Raw genomic sequence first — 23805 nt, 5'->3', positions numbered from 1 at the left:
TGCAGGCACACGCCACCACACCCAGCTAATTTTGTACTTTTAGTAGAGACAGGGTTTCACCATGTTGGTCAGGCTGGTCTCGAACTCCCGACCTCAGGTGATCCACCTGCCTCGGCCTCCCAAAGTACTGGGATTACAGGCATGAGCCACTGCGCCTGGCTGAGTCTTGATTCTTAATGAGCATCTGCACCCAATTGGACTGCCTATACCCAGGCTTCCAACTATGGGACAAAAATAACCCCTTACTTGTTTAAGGTTTCTCTTAAGTAGCCAAATGTAACTCCTAACTGATTTACATGGAAACCTTGAACCCCTCAGTTTTCTTCTTCTTTCCATGAGCCCACAGCTGGTGCAGGAACAGGTTATGCACCTGCTATGTGCTTTTCAGAAGTTGCCCACAAGAACAGTGGAAGAGGCCCTCGGTTTGTTGTTCCCACCTTGGTCCCAACTCCCTCAGCCTTGCAGGGCCTCCCTGGCTTGTCTGGATCCTCCTGGGACCAGGGGACAATGCTAGCTGAGATAACCTAGCATATAAGATCCCAGGCTGTGAATCTAAGAGAAGGGTGCTGGGCCAGCAGTCAGGAATCCTGGGATCCCAACCCATCTCTGCCGTGAATCAGGGCATGACCTCAATCCAGTCATTCTCCATCCCCCTAGGTTTCAGTCACCCCGTCTTTGAAAAGAGGAGATTTAGCTAGGTCTGCAATTTTCAAACTATATAAATTAGTTTGCATTCGGCTAAAAATAGCAAAATCAAGCGGGCAGACAAAAATAAACAGCCAAAACCATAAAAGGACACACAGAGAGAAACAAAAACCAAAAATAGCATAATAGTTTAAACAACAAAGAAATGTGTCATTGGGGGTAACAAGAAGTCCAGAGACACTTCGGAAATGGTTTGGTAGCTGCTTCCCAAGGTCATCAGGCACTCTGCAGTTCTCCATGGATTCTAGCTTCCTTCATGGGCACAGGCTGGCTTCCACAGTGCCAGGCACAATAGCAGTCAAGGAAGAAGAGAATCCATCTTTCTTGTGTTCCTTTTTTCAGAAACAGGGTCTCACACCATTGCCCAAGCCAGAGTGGTATGAACACAGCTCACTGCAGCCTCAACCTCCTGGGCTCAAGTGATTCTCTCACCTCAGCTGCCTGAGTAGGTGGGACCACAGCTCCTCAGGGCTGAACCACCACACCTGGCTAATTTTTAAGATTTCTGTAGAGACAAGGTCTCACCATGTTGCCTAGGCTGGTCTTGAACTCCTGGGCTCAAGCCATCCTCCCACCTTGGCCTCCCAAAGTGCTGGGATTACAAGTGTAAGCCACCAAGCCTGGCCTGTGTGCCATTTTTAAGAGCAAGAAACCTTTCCCATGAGCCCCCAGCAGACTTCTCCTTACCTATACTGGCCAGAAGTGCCTATTCCTAAACCAATCACTGACCAGGAAAGTGAGATCACTGCCTGGTGTGAACATATGTTGGAGAGCCAACCAGGACCAGGACAGCAAAGGAGGCTTCCTTTCTAAAGAAATACCACACGCCCCCATGACAGAGAGCAGAGAAAAGCAGAGCCCTTTGGACTGAAGATGGGGAGGAGACTGGAGCCCACCCCTGGATTCCTCAAGGTCCCAGTCACAGAAGTTCCAAAACTGCTGGGCTTGATCTCTGAGACACCTCCCTGCTCTACTACCCTATGCTTCTAAGATTAGTGGCTCTGGCAGAATAGGGTCAATATGAAAAGGAAAACTAACCACATCTACTGAGGTTGCCCTGAAGATGGGGCCAATCAATAGGCCTGCTATAGGTAAGGGAACTGCATGGATTGTCTGTACTCTGCTCTTAATAATAACAACACGCACACGCACATATGTTTTCTGCTTTCCAGGATCTTGGACACATACAATCTCATCCAGTCTAAGAAGAAGTCCTATAAATAGTGTGAGGCCCATATGTCTTTATTTTAGAGATGGGGAAACCAAGGCACAAGACAAGGAGGTATTTGCTCCAGAAAACTAGGGCCTGGTAGAGCCTAGCCTGGACTATCAGCTGCCAATTTGGCCTAAGGACAAGTGACACTCCTGGGAAACTGGGGGTACCTTTATCCTAGGCATGATGGGGAAGCCCCTGGTCAGGGTTTATTGAGCCACGGGTTGCTGGCTGGGTGACTTGAGCTTCTCAATTTCTCTGAGCCTCACTCCCCTCCTCTGTAGTGAGGTTACTCAGAGGACATCCCTCTTGGGGCCAATGGGAGGACCGGGGAACACTTTGAAGGCCCCTGGGTTGTTTAAAAGACTTTGAGGTCATCTTGGCTGAGGTTCCAGACAGCTTAGGGAAGGCAAACTCTGTTCCTTTACCTCCAGACTGTACCCGAAGGAAGACTGAAACCAAAACACGGGCTGCTACCCCATGCCTGGCCACCGCCTCCTCCCTGGGGCAGCCGAGACTGTAGCCTGGCCAGGCACCTCCCCCACTCCCTCGAGGCAGGCGGCTGCTAATGGCTCTCCCCGCAAGCTGGTTCATTAAAGATTTGTTCTGTGGAGTTGCAATCAAAATAAACAGACAGGCCTGAAAGCCAGGGAACTAAAAACCAATTAAGAGGGAATGGAGATGGAAGGAGGGAGTGGTGGGGGCAGGAGGAGAAAAGAGGCCAGGGCTTTCCAAAGACTCAGTTCCCATGGCAGCCAGCTTCCAAAATAGTCTGGGAATGAAAAATAATGAAAACCACCTCGGAGAGAAAAGCGATCCTGGCAGGAGAGTCCCGACATTGGGATTGCCTAAATCCCCTTGCTCACAGCAACCAGAGGGCACCTGGGTGGGTCAGGGCACTGGTGACCTGCCCTCCACCCCCCAATCATTTCCTGGCCACATTCAAGGTAGTGAACGGGTAGCCCTTCTGCAGAACCTCTGCTCGGGCTTTGAGCCACATTCCAGCCCCGCCCCACAGGCACAGGAAGACCAGGGAAATGTAATGGGGGTGAGGGCAAGGGACTAAGGGATGCGGTGGGGACAAGGCTGAAAGGGAATGTTCAGGACACCCAGAGGTTTACATGGGGCCCAAGGTAGGATCCCTAGTCCAGTTGCAGAGGTCTTCCTGGAGGAAGTGACATTCAAACTGAGATCTGAAGAATGAGTAGGAGCTGGTCAGGAAATGAACAGAAGCAATGGGGCTTCAGGACGAGAGCACAGGCATTGCAAAGGCCCAGGGAGAAGGAGAGCAGGAGAGAGAGAAGCCAGAAGTTCAGCAGGGCTGGCAGTTATTGAGCTGGACATACTCTGTGCCAAGCTCAGTGCTCTCGTAGGTACTGAATCCTGAGAGGCAGAAACCCCTGGCAGGCTAAGGATCAAAGATCTCAAGGTCGGGGAGCCAGGATCCCAGCATGAATCTGTGGACCCTGCACCCACCTTCTTTCCCCTCTGCCTAGAGCTGGACTTTCCAGGGCACCCCAGTTCCCTGCCCCTTCCCTTGTCCTGGTGACCCAGAAGCCCAGCACGGCCGAGTTTCTAGCAGTCATTTCTGGTGCTATCTCGGAGGAGACCCTGCTGCCCACCAGGAGGCATCGCCGGTTAAACATCTCCAGACCCCCTTGTGGTCTGGTTTCTGTTTCATCGGTGAGGCAACAGGAAAACTGAGAGCCTATTAAGTTGACTTGCAGATGCCAAAATGGAATCACAGCCAAAATTACATTAACCCTTTCACACCCCGTCCTCCACCCGCCGTCCGGGGCCACAGAAATCAGAGCGTTGAACCACATGACCGCTTGGGAGAAGCGACCACCTTGGCCCCAGGGGATGGCCTCCTAGATCCAGAGCGGCACCTGGCCTACCCAGGCAGGGCTGATGGGTCAGGCGTCCATCCTGCGCAGGTGCAAGCCATGGTGCTGGTGACGGAGGAGCACCCACCCAGCAGCCCTGCTGAACGCAAGGACTCGTAGCTGGGAAAAAGGACTGTGCAAACCGGAGCCAGCTCTTCCAAACAGGGAAGAGGTCATGTGAAAGCCGTGGGGCTGAGCTGCACAGTGGGGGGTTCTCAGGGCACTGATCTTTCACTCTCATTCCAGGAAGTCAAGCCATAGCCAAGTGGGAGCGCACTGGAAATGGGGTGGCCCCGAGAAGGCAAAAGCACAGCCATCGTCTCTTAACTTAGTGTCCCCTGAAGGCTCCGCACAGAAAAGGGTAATATGGGTCAAGAAAAGAGCACTGGACTGGGAGTCCATCCAGAATGGAGCAGGGCATTTGTCCTGTCCTCGTGGTGGGGCAGAATGAGCACAGGCTTTGTAGTTAGATTCCATTGAGTATCAACCTTATTTCCCCATCTGGGAGCTGTGTGACCCTGGGTCAATTACTCCTCCCTGAGCCTCAGTTGCCTCAGCAATAAATGGATATAATATAGACTACCTCATAGGGTCTTATCAGGATGAAATAAGGTGCCACAGTGCCCAAAGCAAGCTGGGCATGTAAAGGGAACTCCCTTGCCTCCAGGCCGCAGCTTCAACTGTAAAATGGGCTGACAACCATCCTGGGTTAAGTGTGTCCAGCACTTGAGACACTACAGAGGGCTGCAGATACATTCAAGGGGTCTCTGGCTGGGGAAGACGCTGAGATGTTATTCCCTTTCCAGCCTCCTTTGCCCTTGGCCTTCTTCTCACCTACCATCAGACAGAGGCCTCCCTCACGCTGCACAGCCTCCTCCTGGGTGATTGTGAGGGCTCCGTGGCCACAGAGATGAAAGAACATTTCTTGTGCACCTACTCAAGGCAATTATCAGAAACTGGAATTATTATACCCCCTGCCCAACCAGCTTATAGTTGAAGGAAATGCGGTTCAGGCACAGAAGGTGACTCACCTGGAGTCACATGGTTTCTAAGCCCTTGCTTGGGTTTGGAATCCTAGGCCTGACTGACTCCAAGGCCCATGTTCCTGCCCCTGCCCCACTCCAAGCCCCCAGTTCACCAGCAGCATAATAGCCCGGGGAACCTGAGACCTGAACTGCCCAAATGCTGGGACTATCCTGGGGTGGCCTCCCCTCCTGTGGGTGCTGAGACAGTGGTCACCACTCCACCATCGGGAGAGACGGACACTCCAAACTACCACCAACTCCCTCGCTGGCCAAGGACCACCAGGAATGAGTGGATGGGATGGGAAACAGGCAGGAAGAGGTGATGCTCAGGCCTAAGTGTGAGTCTGGGCTCAGCCGTGTTGACTTGCCCAAGTTTCCTCACCCCCCTGGCTCTCCGTGACCTCATCTGTAGATCCTGGACAGGAAGAACACTGTCCTATCTCGCAGGCTGTCGGGAGATTTAAATGAGATGACTGATGGGTGTTGAAATGATCAAGGCTTGTTGTCACTGGTAATTAGCACACTCGTTATTTGTTTGTGTTTCTAAGCAGCAGATTCGCTAAGTGGGTTAAACCGCTTCTCAGTCCCAGCTGCTCAAGTGTCCTGTTGACACTGGTCCTGCTTTGTTCACAGACAGCAAAGGTGAATCCATGCCCTGCACAGTTGGAACAGCCCATACCCCAGGGGAGCCCCCATGGGGCGCAGACTGTTCAGCTTTTGTGCTGGTTTTCTTGGCCCTCAGGCCAACCAAGCGACGGGAGGCAAGCGTAGCAGGCATTCTTCCTCCCCTGGGTTCTCAGAAATGGATAAACCAACACATGAGACCCACAGCCACCCTGGCGTATTTGCAGGGAGTGCTTACTATGTGCCAGACAGTTTGCTCCTCTACAGATAAAACCCTGGGAGCTTCTCCCTGCAGCCCTGCGACAGGGGTGGCTTTCTAACTCCCACCCCTCCACTCCCTTCCTTCCTTCCCTTTCTGCTTCCTTCCTTCCTTCTCCCAGCTTTCCACCTTTGATTCCAAAAGTCAGTCCCAGGGCAGTGGCAGGGGGCAGCAGGATTGCTGGCCCTCAGGGTACCTGTCTAGGGCAGGAGGGAAGGGCCCTGGGAAGTTAGGATCATGGCCCGGCTGTCTAGGAGGACCCAGGGGACCTGACTCAGGCAGAGCAGCAAAGGGAACAAGGCAAGTGCAGAGATACTGGACCCAGGGAAGGGCATTGACTCATGTGGGGCACTGGCCTGAGCAGGGAAGCCCTTCTGGCTGGGATTCCAAGAAGGAATATTTCTCAGCCAGTCCCCAGTTTGACACCTCCAAAAATTAATGCCAGAGGCCCCCTCAGCAAAGCCTGGGGCACGATAGGCGCACCATCAAGGAGCATCAAATCAAACTGACCAGGAACTCGAGGAACGTCGCTTCCTCCAACACCTGAGAAAACAGGAGGCAAAGCCGGGCCAGGTCTTATGGAAAGACTGGGAGAACCAGGGAGCCCAGAACATCTGAAAGAAGGACTTCAGGACCTAGCCCTGAAGGAGCTAGGTTCAGGTGCTGAAAAGAAGCCGCCAGTGCTGGGAGGTGGGGCTCTACTGGAGTAATATCTCCTGAGCTGCAAGTAGCTGCACTCCCATGTTCCTGTGTGTCCACAGAGCCACTAGGCTCAGGCGGATACTCTGCTTCTCACAGGTCAGCCATTCAACCCTCCTGGCCACCATGAGGCAGGAATCAGCACCCCCAGGTAAATCTAAAGAACCTTAAGGGTTTGTTGTTGTTGTTGTTGTTGTTTTTAATAGAGACAGGGTCTCCCTCTGTCACCCAGGCTGGAGTGCAGTGATACAATCAGAGCTTATTGCAGCCTCAAACTCCTGGACTCAAGTGATCCTCCTGCCTCAGCCTCCTGAGTAGCTGGGACTACAGGCAGTTCCCATCACACCCAGCTAATTCTTTTTTTTTTTTTTTTCCTTAGTATTTATTTATTTTTGAGATGGAGTTTTGGGCCAGGCTGGAGTGCAGTGGCACGATCTCGGCTCACCGCAAACTCCGCCTCCCACGTTCAAGCATTTCTCCTGCTTCAGTGTCCCAAGTAGCAGGGATTACAGGCATGAGCCACCACACCCAGCTAATTTTGTATTTTTAGTAGAGACAGGGTTTCTCCATGTTGGTCAGGCTGGTCTCAAACTCCCGACTGCAGGTGATCCACCTGCCTCAGCTTCCCAAAGTGCTGGGATTACAGGCGTGAGCCAACGCGCCCAGCCCACACCCAGCTGATGTTGTTGTTGTTGTTGTTGTTGTTGTTGTTGTTTTTGAGATGGAATCTCGCACTTTCACCCAGGCTGGAGTGCAGTGGCGTGATCTCGGCTCACTGCAAGCTCCGCCTCCCAGGTTCACGCCATTCTCCTGCCTCAGCCTCCCAAGTAGCTGAGGCTACAGGCGCCCGCCACCACACCTGGCTAATTTTTTGTATTTTTAGTAGAGACGGGGTTTCACCGTGTTAACCAGGATGGTCTTGCTCTCCTGACCTCGTGATCTGTCCACCTCGGCCTCCCAAAGTGCTGGGATTACAGGCATGAGCCACCGTGCCCAGCCCGCACCCAGCTGATTTTTTTAAACAATTTTGGTAGAGATGGGTTCTCACTATGTTGTCCAGGCTTAGGAACCTGAAGTTTAGAGATGAGTACCAAACCCATCTCATGGTACTCAACTCCAGACTTGCTCAAAAATACTTGAGGAATAACCAGCTCTGGGTCACATAGTGTCCTTGACAGGGCCATAAGGCTACAAAGAACTTAAGTGCTTATTGTTTAACAGGACAAAAATTGTTAACCAGAGATTGCCCCAAGCCTTTCTCTCCTTTCCTGCTAAGGGAGCTCTGACTGGCCCACATCTTCCCTTCACTCCTCACCCTTGAAGAGGGCCTGTCTTGCAAAGTGGTTCTTTGGAACAGAAACACAAACTTGGAAGCAAAAGGGAAAGGGGAGGAAGATCAGAGAGGTGCTGGGCTAGTGCTGGGGGTAGCTCTGAGGTTGGAGGAGAAAGAATTGTGCCCAGGGAGGCACAGAGGCTGATAGAGAAATGGGGGGTGGGCTAAGAGGTCTCCATGTGGTCCGCTATCCCCCTTTGGGACTGCAAAATACAAGGAAAGAACTGAAGTTATAATGACCTAAGATTTGGTTTCTCAGCTCTGTTCTTTTGAAGCAACACCACTGAGAGAAGGGACCCTGTGAGTCACAGCTTTCTAGGCATTCCGTTTGTAAGGATGTGTGTGGCGAGGAATGGAAACTGGAACTGAGGCAAAGCAGAGACCAGCCTCTTCCTCACAGCATCTTTGCCTTGCTTTGTGTGCTTGATCTTGGATTTCCAGCCTCCAGAACTGTGAGAAGTACATGTCTGTTGTTTCTAAGCCACTGCGTCTATGGTATTCTGTTCCAGCAGTCCAAACTAAGACAGGAGCCCCAGTCTTGCCCAGAGTGAGAGAGGTACTCTCCCCTTCCTTCTGCCAACTCTCAGATCACACAGGGGTGAACTGAAATTCCTGCTCAGGTCATGCAAGGGTGGACTGGAAATTCCATCCTCCTATTTTGTAAGTACCTTCAAACTATAAAAAGCATTTTGCAAGCACCTTCAAAAGGTTTTTAAAACTTTCCAAAAAGAAATGTAAATGTGGGCGAATGTTTTTTTGATCCAGGAAACATGCATAATGGGACTTTTAAGAAAGGGTCACTTGGTGTCCCCTCCTTTGATTTTAAGGAAGAGAAAGGGCTCTTTCCCCCCTGCCCATTGGATGGGAAGACAAGGCTTTCCTCTGTATGAGAGCTGCACACTCCCCCAAACACCACCAACTCTTAGCTCTCTCCAGTCTTCTTATATTGACCAGGAAGGTGGGACTTCCATCCACAGGCCCCAGCAACAGTGAGCAGTGCCACGTGTACCCAAGGTGAACATGTTGCATGCAGGGGATGGTGCCTGAGTCAGGGCTGCCAACTGAGTGTGCAGGGCAGATGTATCTGTCCAAGGAGGTATGCACTGAACTCTGCTGTCATTTTAAGCTGGTAGGCCAATGGTTTCTTCCCGTCTGGACAGAATGTGCCTTCATGAGGGGCTGTGGATAACTGTGATCACATGAAACTGTTGGACGAGCTGATCTGGACAACCTAGGGGCAGATGAGAGTGAATTATTGTGCTTTACAGTACTTTTGAAGAAAGGCAGTTTTACGACTTTCAAATAGATATGGTAAATGGGAACCATGTGTGACCAGCAGAGGCCCTTGGGGAACTGCTTCAAGGACCAGCTAAGAATCAGCTATAACCAGCAAAGCACTTGTTTATATGTGAATGAGCGAGCTTCACATGTGTTTTAAAATGTCTTGTTTGAATGTCTCTCCTGACACCATTTTCTTACTACCTTTTTTGTACTTCCACGAAGAAAGGGTTGGTTCAACAAAGGCTAACATCCCCCCAGCCATATCCAAATTATTACAAACCTCAAATGCCCACTTCCCCACAATCAAAGATGTTTGCCTGAGTTGGCAGCTCATGAGGAAGCTTGCATTTCACAGCAGGAAGAAGGGTTTAGCCAAAATTTCCACATGGAGACAACCTTGATCCCAACCCAAACCCATCTCATGATACTCATCTCCAGACTTGCTCAAAAATATTTGAGGAACTTAGCTGAGTTTAAATACTCAAGGGAGAAAGATGGAAAGTTGAAGCCTCCCTGGTGAACTTCGACCTGGTACAGGTTTTTAAACAGTGATACTTATCCAGTGACTACTGTGTATGTGCCCCCATGGGGGATGCTCTAATGAACATGTCCTCCAGGAAAATTGAATCTTGTGGATTTCAGTTGGTGAGAGGGGACATGCATACAAACCATGGCACAAGGCAAAGTGAAGGTAATGCAACGGAATAGAAATAAACAGCACTCCACAGTGGGGCAAGAGAATATTACTTCCAGCCAGAGAACCACAAGAGACTCTATGAGGGAGATCACCTGTGGTTGTAGATGTGCATTCTACCATCCAGCAGTTACACTTCTATATGGTAGAAACTTTTGCAGGTGAACTCAAGGAAATATGCACAAAGACAGTGCAGCTTTCTAGGTAGTGTCAAAAAATTAGAAATAATCCAAATATCCACTAATAGATGAAAGGATGAATAAATTGAGATATTTTCATACAATGAAACATTATACCTAGGTTGAAGTGAACGTACTAGAGCTCGATGTATCTACATGGAAAAACCTAGATAACCATTTTGGTCAACAATTAAAAAAATGCAGAAGAATATTTACAAAGATGGCATTATGTAAATTTTAAACTCATGAATTGACATACTCCTTATGTGGAAAATGCATCCGTACATAGGGGAAAAAGATACCCACTCATTTCAGAATATTGATCACCTTTGGAGACAGAAGGAGGGGTATGAGATAAGGAAGGGGCATAAAGGGGACCTCAGATATACCATTACTTCCTTTCAATTTTTTAAATTAAATGTGATTAAATGTAAACATTCTTAAAGCTAAGAAGTAGGCAGATGGGCTTTTGTTACATGATTCTTTATTTCTCTGTATGTTTGAAATAAATTCATTCATTAAGAAAATGAGGTCTTTCATTCTTCTAGAAATACTGAGTAAAATATTACATCTTTTTAAATGCGAAGCTGAGCTTTCAAGAAAGTAAACAGAATTAATCTGGAGGAAAAAACAAAGAAGTAACTAAAAATCAAAATTTTAACTGTGGTGAGTGATGTTGTAGAGACTGGTGGGGGCAGGGAGTTACTGGCCCTGATAACCAGAGAGCAAATGGCTAAAGTTAAGATATTCACATAAAGGCAGGACTATACTCCAGGTGGACGGCAGAGTCGGGGCCTGGGGGGACCTACCTCTGGTACACGGACAACCTGTAAGCTTACTGGTCTTATAGTCCAGGTACCGAGGAAAAAAATCCTATCCTCAGGGTATTTGTAGAAAACAATAAGCAGCAACTATTTAGCATCACAGATGCCTGAGATAGTGACAACAGATGGGGCAAACAAGAGACTGGTGAAAAACTTATAAGGATGATGGTGCAGGAAGTAAGATATCCCCAGGGAAACCCTTGGCAAAGAGTGGAAGACTTGGCTGGGTGCGGTGGCTCACACCCGTAATCCTAGCACTTTGGGAGGCTGAGGTGGGCAGATCACTTGAGCCCAGAAGCTCGAGACCAGCCAGGGCAACATGGCGAAACCCCATCTCTATGAAAAATAGAAAAACTAGCCAGGCATGGTGACATGCACCTATAGTCCCAGCTACTCAGGAAGCTGAGGTGGGAGGATCACTTAAGCCTGGGAGGTGGATGTTGCAGCGAGCTGATGTTTTGCCATTGCACTACCGTTTGGGCAACAGAATAAGACCCTGTATCAAAGAGAGAGAGAGAGAGGAAGACTTACTGGTTCAAAACATTTAAGAAATGAGAAAATATTTAGAACTGAGCAATAATGAAAATAGCAACATTTCTAAATTTCTTGATGCAGTTCCAGAGATGTTAGAGGGAAAATTGCAGTCTTCATTTATGACACATGTAAGAAAACGAGTAGAGGGTTAAGTGTCCAGCTCAAGAATTTAGGGAGGAGGGAGCAACAAAGCAAACCTAAATAAAGTTGGATAAAAGAAATAATAAAGACAAGGACAGAGATCAATGAAATAGAAAATGGGCTTAGCGAGTACCAACAAAACCAAAACATGGCTCTTGAAAAGACTGATAAAATAGACAAATTGCTGGCAGTGCTGATTGATCTAGAAAGAGTAAAGGTACAAATGAGCATTCTGTGGAGCTGAGTTACTGCACCAGCCCGAATCCTACTACCTCTAGAACTGTCATGTGGGAAAGGAATAGCCTTCTCTCTTGTTTAAGTCACTGTCAAACTTCTTGCAGTCAAACCTAATCCTAACCCACATAGAGGGCTAAGCCAGGCCTGGGCTGGATCCAGGCACCCTAACTAGGCCAAGCAGGATGGAGGAGGGTGTCTGTACCATGGGTGATCAGGCAAAGTGTGGCTTGAGAAGCAGAGGTGACAGATCAGGCCACAATCAGGCTGGCAGAGCAGGCAGTTGTCCACAGACATGCCCTGATCAGCAGCAGCCATCAGGACAAGTGGTGACTGTTGCACCTGCTTTCAACAGTCTCCCGACTTCCCAGGTGAGTGCACTCCAGGGCTACCTCTTGTGGGCCAGACCTACTGGGCAGGTGTGGTTCCTCCAGGACAGGGGCTACAGTCTCTGATTCGTGTGTGGGTCTTTGACTTGCAAGTTTCAAAAGCCCAACTCAACCCAGCTCAAACAATCAAAGCAATGTATTCACTCATCTAGTTTAACTCAGTCCACCTGCCAAAACTATGTTTCCAAAGATTCATGATGTTGGCTTCACGTGGTCCCATGCTACCCCTCCCTGCAACAGCCCAGATGCTTCACCAGTGAAAGAAAAATGGCTTCAGCAGCTCCAAACCTACCATCCTCACATCACACCATCCAGGAAGATGTAGTTCCTTTTCCAACGTCTCCCTTACAGGACTTGTGATTTGTTCTCCCTCACTGGCCAAAATTAGGCCATCTGCCTGTCTCTAAGCCAATCAACATGCTGATTGACTTCAGCCAGTCAGGACCTAGCCCAGAAACTGCTGCTAAATTGAGTGACTCATGAATGACTAAGCTTCACTCTCCTGGTGTATTAGAGCAGGTTTTCATAATACCTAACTGGTAATGTTTTCAGGCAGTATAAATAAAATCAGCACTTAGTCACTTAGCAGAATGCCTGATACACTCTGCATTTGATCAATGGTAACCAGTAATAGCTATTAGCATGAACACTAAAAACTGGGGCCCTGCGCAGGCGTGGTGGCTCACGCCTATAATCCCAGTACTTTGGGAGGCCGAGGTAGGTGGATCACTTGAGGCCAGGAGTTCAAAACCAGCCTGGCCAACATGGTGAAACCCCGTCTCTACTAAAAATAAAAAAATTAGCCAGGCGTGGTGTTGCACGCCTGTAGTCCCAGCTACTCAGGAGGCGGAGGCTGGAGAATCTCTTGAACCCGGGAGGTGGAGGCTGCAGTGAGCCAGGATCGCAGTGAGTTGAGATTGTGCCACCGCACTCCAGCCTGGGTGACGGAGTGAGACTCTGTCTCCAAAAATAATTTAAAATAAATAAATAAATAAATAAATAAAACTGGGGCTCTATTCTTACCCTTGGGTTGAGAAAGTCAGGCTAGTGCACCAATGGTTTGAAATGAGTGTCAGTCTGGGGCTAGCTCCTGAGAAAGTGGTATCAACATTAAACTTGATCCCCAGCCCTAGGGGGTAAACTGAGGCAAGTGTCCATGATACAACGGAAAGCAGAGGGTCCCAGGGAAGTCTGCAGTTCCCTCTAATCACCCAGCAACCCCAAGAATAAAGAGGCAGAGGTGACTGCCGAAACACGACTTCCCTAGGGGATCCCCTCCACGCTTTGTGGTCTCTCCAGGGATCATGCCCAGGCTGCTGGCACAGGGCTGTCCCATTAAAAGGACACATTCAAAGTAAGAGGAACAGAAAGGCTGCAGAGCCCCCTCGGCTCAGCTCATGGCGGGTGATAGGGTCATATGCCCTGACAGGCCTTTACACAGGGAGAAAAATCTTTCTAATAGCCCAGAAGAATGCCCTAATCTGACATCTCGTTTAGCAGATGATTGGATCTGGCTTTGATCTCTATTGGGCATAATGAGTGCACCTCTTGGGCCAATCAGCAGTCATTAATTAGTAGCACGGCCAGCAGGTGGGCCTGCCCAGGAATGGGGCCCTTTGCTTGCGAATTGGGAGTTGAGAGTGGAGATGTTTATGAGCAAGTCAGACCCAGAGTGAAACTATGGGATACATCAGGGTCACCAGGACCAGCCCTGGGGTCTGTCTGGGAAAGTGCTCTAAGCTAGGCCTTCACATGACACATGTGACACACAATGCCACCCAGGGACTGGGCCGTGAAAGAAGGTTCCCCACTCCCTGCAACACATAACCCAAAGTGAGAATACAGCACCAACTCAGTACACAGCAAACAGTGTGGGACACCATGAATCACAGCACCGCGATGTGACGACACAGTTCTGTAACTGGCAATTGGCTCTTGGCTTCCATTTACCCTTCTTCTTGGGGTCCTGCATCCCTCCCTCCCCCATGTGGCCCTCTGGGTTCCTGGGAGCTGATGAGTGAGAGAGGGGTTATTGGGATCTATGGTTTCATCATCCCTAAGAGCAATGGAACACAGCCTCGTGGTCCTGCATTAGGTTTCAACAGGGATGCAGTCAGGGAGACAGATGAGCATAAACCACACTGGTGTCCCTGAGTCAGAAGGGCCAGGGGCAGTGTGGGAGGGGACACATCCTGTAGACTTAGCATAGGAAGAGCTGAATTCATACACCATCCTCTGCCACTCACTAAATAGCCATGTGGCTAGGCGTGTGGGCTCAACACCTGTAATCCTAGCACTTTGGGAAGCTGAGATGCAAGAATCACTTGAGCCCAGGAGTTTTAGACCAGCCTAGGCAACATAATGAGACCCCATCTCTAAAAATAAATAAATAAATAATAAAAATAGCCATGTGATCTTGGGGTAAATCCCCTTAACTTCTCTAAGCATAGCTTTGTCCTCTGTGTAAGGAGGGGGTTATGTTTTACATAGCCCTTGCAACATGGGCTGTACTTAGTTTTTGTATAACATCCAAACAGAATTAATACAGGTATTCTCTTTTTTTAATTTTGTAACCAGCAGCTTCTAAACCAGAATAGGCTCTGAGAGGCTCCTTGTATTTTAAGTGTTCAGAATTATTAATACATCTTTAAATCAGTGAAACTAAATATTTTAACTTCAAAAATTAATGAACCCATTATAAAACATTATGTAAAATATACATTCATAGAACTATAAATATTAAACATAATATCATATCAGAACAAATCATTAAAGGACAAAATTTTAAAAAATAAATCATCATTCAAAAGATAAGAATGTGTAATTAACTGTGAAATTAAAAAATTAAATGTCACTTCATCTTTTTTAGTACAATCCTAAAAAAAAGAAAAACAATTAAAGGTGTCATCATTAAATGAAGCACATTTTGTATGCAAATTTGCCCCACTGCCATAACAGCGGTCTCAGAACAGCAAGGAGAAAGTTACAAACTAACAACAGATACTAACACCATGATTGTGGAGGGGGGGACCTATCTTGTTTAATAACTTTGAGAAAATATTTTTTATTTTTTTTCTGGCAGGAGTGGGTAGAGACAGATATTTTTCCGATAGTAAGTGTGTATTTGGGGTTTTGTTTTTGTTTTAAGCCTTCTTTACTCTCATCGGGTATAGAGGTATAGAGGGAGATGTCCACACCATCAGTCTTATGTTCTTTGAACTAGAACTAGAGCTTCAGGAACTGTTTTGCTATTTTGCTATTCTGATTAGCATTTTTTTCTCCTCTTGAGAATTACGGAAATGTAAAAAATAAAAATTATTTTTAAAGCTATCTAAATGGTATATCTTTGGCGTTTTAATGTAGCATATAGCAACACTCTTGGTGGTTTTAAGACAAATTACTCTGATTTTAGGTTTATAAAAATACAAACTAATAGTATTGCAACTGGTATGTGATAATTTAAAATACACATAGAGAGACTAATGAAAACTGGTTTTATAATGTCTTATTCTAGATCAGTAGTTTCCAAATCTTTTCTTTCATAGGGAACTTCTTTTGTTTTTGTTTCTGTTTTTAGACAGGGTTTCGCTCTGTCACCCATGCTGGAGTGCAGTGGTGCAATCATGGCTCACTGCAGCCTCAACCTCCTGAGTTCAAGTGATCCTCCCACCTCAGCCTCCCTAGTAGCTGGTACCGCAGGCACATGTCACCACACCCAATTTTTTTTTTTTTTTTTTTTTTTTTACATTTTGTAGAGACAGGGTCTCATTATGTTGCCCAGGCTGGTCTCAAACTCCAGGGCTCAAGCAATCCTTGGCCTCCCAAAGTGCTAGGACTACAGGCGAGAGCCACCGAGACTGGCCTCTATTGTCTGCATCTTCTATTGAGGGAACCAAAATGTCAAAACACAGCAAAAGCAGGGGGACTTTGAACCAAGTAAGTGACAGGGCTCAGAGCCCTGTTTCCCTCCTTCCTTAACCCCCTCCCTGCAAATACTTACACACAGTTTGCACACATGAATGTGTGGGAACGTAGTGATGCCTGTGTTTATTTATTCAATTCATTTTGGGGGAGTGAAGGTTAACTAAGCACTACTCTGTGCCAGCCCCTGAGCTAGATTCTGGGGAGACGATGGAGTTCACAGTCTAGCAGGGGTGAAGGACATTCAGGAAATAATCACTGATAGAGATACTTGATGACAGTGGTGGTAAGAGCACCTCTCCTCTCTCTGTGGCCCTCCTGCCCTCACCAGAGACACACACATAAAGAGATCTAAGGGCCTGCAGGAGACCAGCTCACCCAGCCCCTACCTTCAGGAAGTTCTGACAGTCCACGGGAGCCTTGCAAAGGAGCCCAGTGGTTCCAGCAGGTCCTCCTGGGTCACTCAGAGGCCCCAGGGAACACAAGGACAGCAGGCAAGTCCCCTGGGCCACTCCCTAGCTCTGCCTCCCTGATGCAGGGCACCCTTGGGTGAGTCTCAAGGCACATTCATCTCCCTCACCCATCCCCACAGACAAATGTCAGCAGCACCAAGGTGGATCCAAGTTTTATAAAGCCTGGAACTTATACAACTTAGGGGATTCTCTTTAGGAAACAGAACACAAAATTATTAATACAAAACTAGGTTAAAAGTGAATATTCGGCCAGGCGCGTTGGCTCACGCCTGTAATCCCAGCACTTTGGGAGGCCGAGGTAGGCAGATCACCTGAGATCAGGAATTCGAGACCAGCCTGGCCAACACGGTGAAACCCTATCTCTACTAAAAACTACAAAAATTAGCCAGGCATGGTGGCGGGTGCCTGTAATCCCAGCTACTTGGGAGGCTGAGGCAGGAAAATCGTTTGAACCTGGGAGGCAGAGGTTGCAGTGAGCCAAGATCACGCCACCTTTAAAATGCCTCTCATTCTTTCCTAGAAGTCACATCAACCAATACATTTTTCAAAGCTGAGATATACACAAAAACCAGAAATATAATATTTTAATAAATCAACTTGCCAACACACCTTTATAATACTCTTTTCTCTATATTTTTGGCTTTGTGTTCTCTTTGATTGCCTCACCATATGTCAATGATTTCATAGTATATTTTTCTATAGAGAGATAGAATGGTGCTTCCTCTAACATCCTTATTCAAAATATATACTTTGTTACTGAGAGTTTAGAAAAGTTTATTTCAGCTTCACAACGAATGTGTGAATTTTCAGGATAGGTGTTGAATTAGTCAATACTCTCCAGAGAAACAAAACCAATACAATATATAGATCAGTCTGAGCCTGAAGGCCTGAGAATGAGGGTGGAGGAATGATGTTTAAGGGCAGAGGATACATGCCTCAGTTCAAACAGAGATATCAGAGGCATTTGAACCAGAGCAACTCCATCTTGAATAAGGGCTGGGTAAAATGAGGCTGAGACCTACTGGGCTGCATTCCCAGACGGTTAGGCATTCTAAGTCACAGGATAAGATAGGAGGTCGGCACAAGATACAGGTCACAAAGACTTTGCTGATAAAACAGGCTGCAGTAAAGAAGCTGACCAAATCCCACCAAAACCAAGATGGCAACGAGAGTGACCTCTGGTCGTCCTCACTGCTACACTCCCCCCAGCACCATGACATTTTATAAATGCCAGGCAACTTCAGGAAGTTACCCTATATAGTCTTAAAAGGGGAGGCATGAATAGTCCACCCCTCGTTTAGCATATAACCAAGAAATAACCATAAATATGGGCAACCAGCAGCCCTCGGGGCTGCTCTGTCTCTGGAGTAGCCATTCTTTATTCCTTTACTTTCCTAATAAACTTGCTTTCACTTGACGGGCTTGTCCTGAATTCTTTCTTGTGAGAGATCGAAGAACCCTCTCTTGGGGTCTGTATCTGGACCTCTTTCCAGTAACAGAGAGAGTGAATTCACACTTCCTTCACCTTTTCCTTTTTTTTTTGAGATGGAGTCTCGCTCTGTCGCCCAGACCGGAGTGCAGTGGCACGATCTCGGCTCACTGCAAGCTCCGCCTCCCGGGCTCATGCCATTCTCCTGCCTCAGCCTCCCGAGTAGCTGAAACTACAGGCACCCGTCACCACACCCAGCTAATTTTTTTGTATTTTTAGTAGAGATGGGGTTTCACCGTGTTCACCAGGATGGTCTCGATCTCCTGACCTCGTGATCCGCCTGCCTCGGCCTCCCAAAGTGCTGGAATTACAGGCGTGAGCCACCGCACCCAGCCTCACCTTTTCCTTCTATTCCACCCTCAACCAACTGGATGGTCCCTACCCCAGTGAAGGGGGATCTTCTTTACTCAGCCTACCCATTCAAATGCTAATCTCTTTTGGAAACATGCCTGGAAATAATCTTTTACCAGCCATCTGGGCATCCTTTAGCTCTGTCATATTGACACATAAAATTAACTATCCCAAGTCCACTCCTTGGCAACTTGGCACCCATACACATCTTCTTATACCACAGTTTATCACCAAATAAAGACAATAATGTAACCGCCGAAGGGGTTCACCTTGCCCACTTGCCTAGGCGGAGTCAATTCATCAAGGCAGGGAAATTGCAATAGAGAAAGAGTAATTCACACAGAGCTGGTTATGCAGCAGACCAGAGTTTCATTATTCCTCAAATCAGTCTCCCCAAGCATTCAAGCATTCAGGGAGCAGAGTTTTTAAGGACAACTGGGTGGGTGGGGGGAAGCCAGTGAGCCAGGAGGCTGATTGGTCAAAGATGAAATCGTAAGGAGTCGAAGCTGTCTTCTTGTGCTGAGTCAGTTCCTGGGTGGGGACCACAATATCAAATGAGCCAGTTTATTGATCTGGGTGATGCCAGCTGATTTATCAAGTGCAGGGTCTGCAAAATACCTCAAGCACTGATCTTAGGAGCAGCTTAGGGAGGGTCAGAATCTTGTAGAATCCAGCTGCACGACACCTAAACCATAATTTCTAATCTTGTGGCTAAGAGTAGCCCTACAAAGGCAATCTAGTCCCCAGGCAAGAAGGAGGTCTGCTTTGGGAAAGAGCTGTTATGGTCTTTTGTTTTAGACTATACACTATAAACTGAGTTTCTCCTACAGTTAGTTCAGCCTACGCCCAGGAATGAACAACGACAACTTGGAGGTTAGAAGCAAGATGGAGTCGGTTAAGTTCAACCTCTTTCACCATCTCAGTCATAATTTTGCAAAGGCAGTTTCAATAACAAGGTTATAATAAAGCTGCCTTTGCAAAAAATTATAACTATAAGAAAATTATGACAGTGGCAGAGAGCTGATCTAACCACCCCCCATTTTGCCTTTAACCTCCACACTGCCCTCAGGCATTCCTGGGTTTGGGCCAAGATAACTTTGGGAGAAATTCAGTTTATAGTTTAAATGATAGCAGCTCTTTAATCTGTGTTTGTAAAGCTAATGAAAGACCACCAGGTTAGGAGGATGAGGAGCCTGAATACGTGCTAAAGTGTAGACATAAATGATTACCAGCCATTACTCTGGAGGTTACAAGATTTGCAACTTCCCCAATTACTCCTGCAGATAACATCAGTATTTTAAAGCCTATGATTGGCCTTTTGAGACATCTTTTCTGATTTTTGCATTTCTGACAAATGATGGCTCCACCCAGCCCCATACCCCTACCCAGAAGCGGACTCAGCACATTTTCTCAGGACCATTTCTCACACCCCTGTGTTGGCATCTGCAACCAATCAGCAGCACTCATTCCCTGGCCTGACAAGCTATCCTTGAAAAACCCCAGCCTCCGAATTTTCAGAGAGATTGAATTGAGTAATAACTCTGTCTTTCATGTGGTATGGCTAGCTTCACATCAATTAAACTCTTTATTGCAATGCCATGGTCTCAGTGAATTGGTTTTGTCTTGAAGTGGGCAGGAAGAACCTATCGGGTGATTATAATAATTCTGCCTAATATGATACAACTATCCCCCATACAACTGAAAATGCAAGAATTCCTTTCCTAGAAGAGGAGGTAAAGTCCTTAAGTGATATCTACTCTTCTGATATCCCACAACTTAAATACTATGATATAAAATTAACAGCACTCAAATACTAATAAGGTATTAATAAGGCCAATACCTTATTAATGGCATGTCAATGACATAAGGGCAATACCCCATGTTACATGATAAGAGAGAAAAGAAAACAAAGATATTTGCTTAATATATGTATACGTACACACAAACATATTCATAACAAAATAAGCGTAAAATACTCATGACAATTTTACTTTTCATTTCTGTAACTGATCACATTGTCAGAGGCACTGGAACCAGAGCAACTCCATTGTGAATTAGGGGTTGGGTAAAATAAGGCTGAGACCTACTAAAATAATGCTGCATTCCCAGGAGGTTAGGCATTCTTAGTCACAGGATGAGATAGGAGGTCAACACAAGATACAGGTCACAAAGATTCCACTGATAAAACAGGATGCCCTAAAGAAGCCAGCCAAAATCTGCTGAATTCAAAATGGTGATGCAAGTGACCTCTGGTCCTTCTCATTGCTCATTTTACACTAATTATAATGCAATTAACATGCTAAAAGACACTTCTACCAGTGCCATGACAGTTTACAAATACCATGGCAACATCTGGAAGTTAACCTATTTGGTCTAAAAAAAAAGAGGAATCCTCAGTTCCAGGAATTCTTCGCCTCTTTCCCAGAAAACTCATGAATAATCCACCCCTTGTTTAGCATATGATCAAGAAATAACCATAAAAATAGCCAACCAGCAGCTCTCAGGGCTGCTCTGTCTACAGAGTAGCCATTCTTTTGTTTCTGTACCTCGTTAATAAACTTGTTTTCACTTTACTCTGTGGCCTTGCCCCAGATTCTTTCTTGTGGGAAAAGACTCTCTTGGGGTCTGGATCGGGACCCCTTCCCGGTAACAATGTGGTCATAACTGTTATTTGTAACTACCTCCTCTACTACCCATTATTCCATTATTCCAAGGCTGAGCAGGCACCTCAACTTCAGATGGCTGTGGTTCTTTACTTGGCTGGGTAACCCAAACCTTCATTCCTGAAGTGTCTGGGCCGTTAGTATTCATGCCCAGATTGGGTGTTATTGTTTTCCACTAATCTTTCTTTTTTTTTTTTTTTAGGGAGTCTAGCTCACTGCAACCTCCACCTCCTGGGTTCAAAGCAATTTTTCTGCCTCAGCCTCCCAAGCAGCTGGGATAACAGGCACCCACCACCTTGCCCAGCTAATTTTTATATTTTTAGTAGAGACGGTGTTTCACCATATTAGCCAGGCTGTTCTTGAACTCCTGGACTCAGGTGATCCTCCCACCTCAGCCTCCCAAAGATTACAGGCATGATTACACTGCGCCTGGCCATTTTCCATTGATCTTAGTCACTGGGCATGGTAATACTAAGAGACACCCTAAAGGATCTCCTGTATCCTAGATATACTCTTCTTACCTCTATTGCAGAGTAGTAGTCCAATTTCCCCAATGGCAGTCAGGTAAATCACCCGAGCCTATAGAGTAACTCCCTTTTTGCCTGTTGACTCAGCGTCATGAGGCACCCAAAGTGGCTGAGTGGTAGTTTTAACCTCCGGTTCAATGGAATCGTTGTTGTGTCTCCTCGTGGAAGCATTTCTTTCTCTGGAACTAAGACCTCTAGACCAGTAGAGCATAAAACTGTGGGAAAAGGAAGCAAAAGTTTTGCTAGTAGATGAGTAGGGGTAATGATGAGTGGTTCTGCTCCCATTTTCACCCCTTGATTCCTGAACCCGTGAATCCCGGCTCTGGAAGAAACAGCACCATATACAAGATGCTAATTCAGAACATATACAGCCTTCTGGAGAACCCTGTCTCAGCCTTGCAAAGTATTTCCACCACACTGGTGTTGTGAGTCTTTGAAAGGCCATTTTACTGTTCTATCAAGCCAACTTCTTCAGGATGGTGGAGTACATGGTAAGACCAGTGAATTCCACGAATATGGGCCACTTCTTTTGTTATGAAGTGACTGTGTGGAATATCATTATGTTGAATAAGGCATTCTGTAAATCACCATGTGGTAGTTTTGGCAGAAGTATCATGTGCAAAGAAGGTAACCATATCCAGGGTATCTATTCCAGTAAGGGCAAAACACTGCCCCTTCCACAGTGGAAGTGGTCCAGTCTAATCAACCTGCCACTAAGCAGCTGGCTGATCACCTTGGGGAATGGTGTCATATCAGGGGCTCAGCGTTGGTCTCCACTTTTTGCAGATTGGGCGCTCCATGGAGGCTGTAGCCAGGTCAGCCTTGGTGAAGGGAAATCCATGTTCCTGAGCCCCAGCATAACCTCCATCTCTGCCACCATGGCCACTTTGTTCATGAGCCCATTGATCAATGACAGGAGTGGCTAGGGAAAGAGCTTGACTGGCTGGTATCCAAAGAATGAGTCACCCTCAGCACTTGACGATTATTATTATTATTTTTTTAAGACAGAGTTTCACTCTTGTCGCCCAGGCTGGGGTGCAATTGCATGATCTCGGCTCACTGCAACCTCCACCTCCCGGGTTCAAATGAGTCTCCTGCCTTAGTCTCCTGAGTAGCTGGGATTACAGGCACCTGCCACCACGCCCAGCTAAATTTTTATTTTTAGTAGAGACAGGGTTTCACCACATTGGCCAGGCTGGTCTTGAACTCCTGACCTCAGGTGATCCGCCCACCTCGGCCTCCCAAAGTGCTGGGATTACAGGCATGAGCCACCGCGCCGGGCCACCACTTGACTATTACAATTGTCTTCTGCTGAGGTCATTCTTTGATGAACAATCACATGGGGCACAAATATCTTCACATTTTTTTACCCATTCGAAAAGGTCTATCAACATATTTCTTCCCCACATTTCTCTGTCATCAATTTTCCAATTGTGTTCCTTCCAAGTCCCTGACCATCCAGCCAAACCATAGGCTACAGCCCATGAGTCAGGATATAATTTTGTATCTGAGCATTTCTCCTTCTAAGCAAAGTACACAGGTGCACTACCCAAAGTTCTGCCCACTGGGAAGATTTCCCTTCACCACTGTCCTTCAGGGATGTCTCAGGGAGAGGCTGTAGTGCCCCAGCTGTCCAATTTCAGGTGATGCCTGGATATCATGCAGAACCATCTATAAACCAGGCTCAAGTCTTCTCTTCCTCTGTCAACTGATAGTAGGGGGCTCCCCATTAAGCCATAGGTGCAGCCTGAGGGAGAGAAAGTACTGTAGCAAGAGTCAAGACCATGGGTATTTGGGCCACTTCTTCATGTAACTTACTTGTGCCTTCAGGGCTCACTCAGGCCTGATCACATATATACCACTTCCATTGATAATGCAGTGTTACTGAACACTTTCAACTTTATGGCTAGATGGGTCAGATAACACCCAGTTCATGATGGGCAGCTCAGGTCTCGTGGTAAGTTGGTGGTCCATGGTCAAGTGTTTAGTTTCTACTGAGGCCCAGTAACAGTCCAAGAGTTGTCTCTCAAAAGGAGAGTAATTATCTGAAGATTATGTCAGGGCCTTCTTCCAAAATCCTAAAGCCTTGCCCTGCGATTCACCAATAGGGGCCTGCCACTGGCTCCAAGCAGCATCCTATCTGCCACTGCCACTTTAAGCACCATTGGATCTGCTGTATCACATGGCCCCAGTGGCAGGGCAGCTTGCACAGCAACCTGGACCTATTGCAGAGCCTTCTCCTGTTCGGAACCCCACTCAAAACTAGCAGCTTTTCAGGTCTCTCAGTAAATGAGCCAGAGTAGCATACCCAAAGGAGGAATGTGTTACTTCCAAAATCTAAAGAGATGTACTAGGCATGAG

At 47.0% G+C, this 23805-nt stretch overlaps 2 annotated features.

Annotated features, from left to right (window-relative positions):
* Nucleotides 1937-2544: an enhancer, noted in NCBI's record as "H3K4me1 hESC enhancer chr2:43134103-43134710 (GRCh37/hg19 assembly coordinates)". NCBI's record gives its function as "activates a minimal SCP1, AML or CMV promoter by ChIP-STARR-seq in naive H9 embryonic stem cells {active_cell/tissue: H9 hESC(naive)}" and the evidence as "EXISTENCE:reporter gene assay evidence [ECO:0000049][PMID:30033119]".
* Nucleotides 2545-3154: an enhancer, noted in NCBI's record as "H3K4me1 hESC enhancer chr2:43133493-43134102 (GRCh37/hg19 assembly coordinates)". NCBI's record gives its function as "activates a minimal SCP1, AML or CMV promoter by ChIP-STARR-seq in naive and primed H9 embryonic stem cells {active_cell/tissue: H9 hESC(naive and primed)}" and the evidence as "EXISTENCE:reporter gene assay evidence [ECO:0000049][PMID:30033119]".

Source organism: Homo sapiens, chromosome 2, assembly GCF_000001405.40.
Source record: "Homo sapiens chromosome 2, GRCh38.p14 Primary Assembly".
Taxonomy (NCBI): Eukaryota; Metazoa; Chordata; class Mammalia; order Primates; family Hominidae; genus Homo; species Homo sapiens.
Note: the sequence above shows the minus strand (reverse complement) of the source record. Positions and strands in the feature narration are given on the sequence as shown.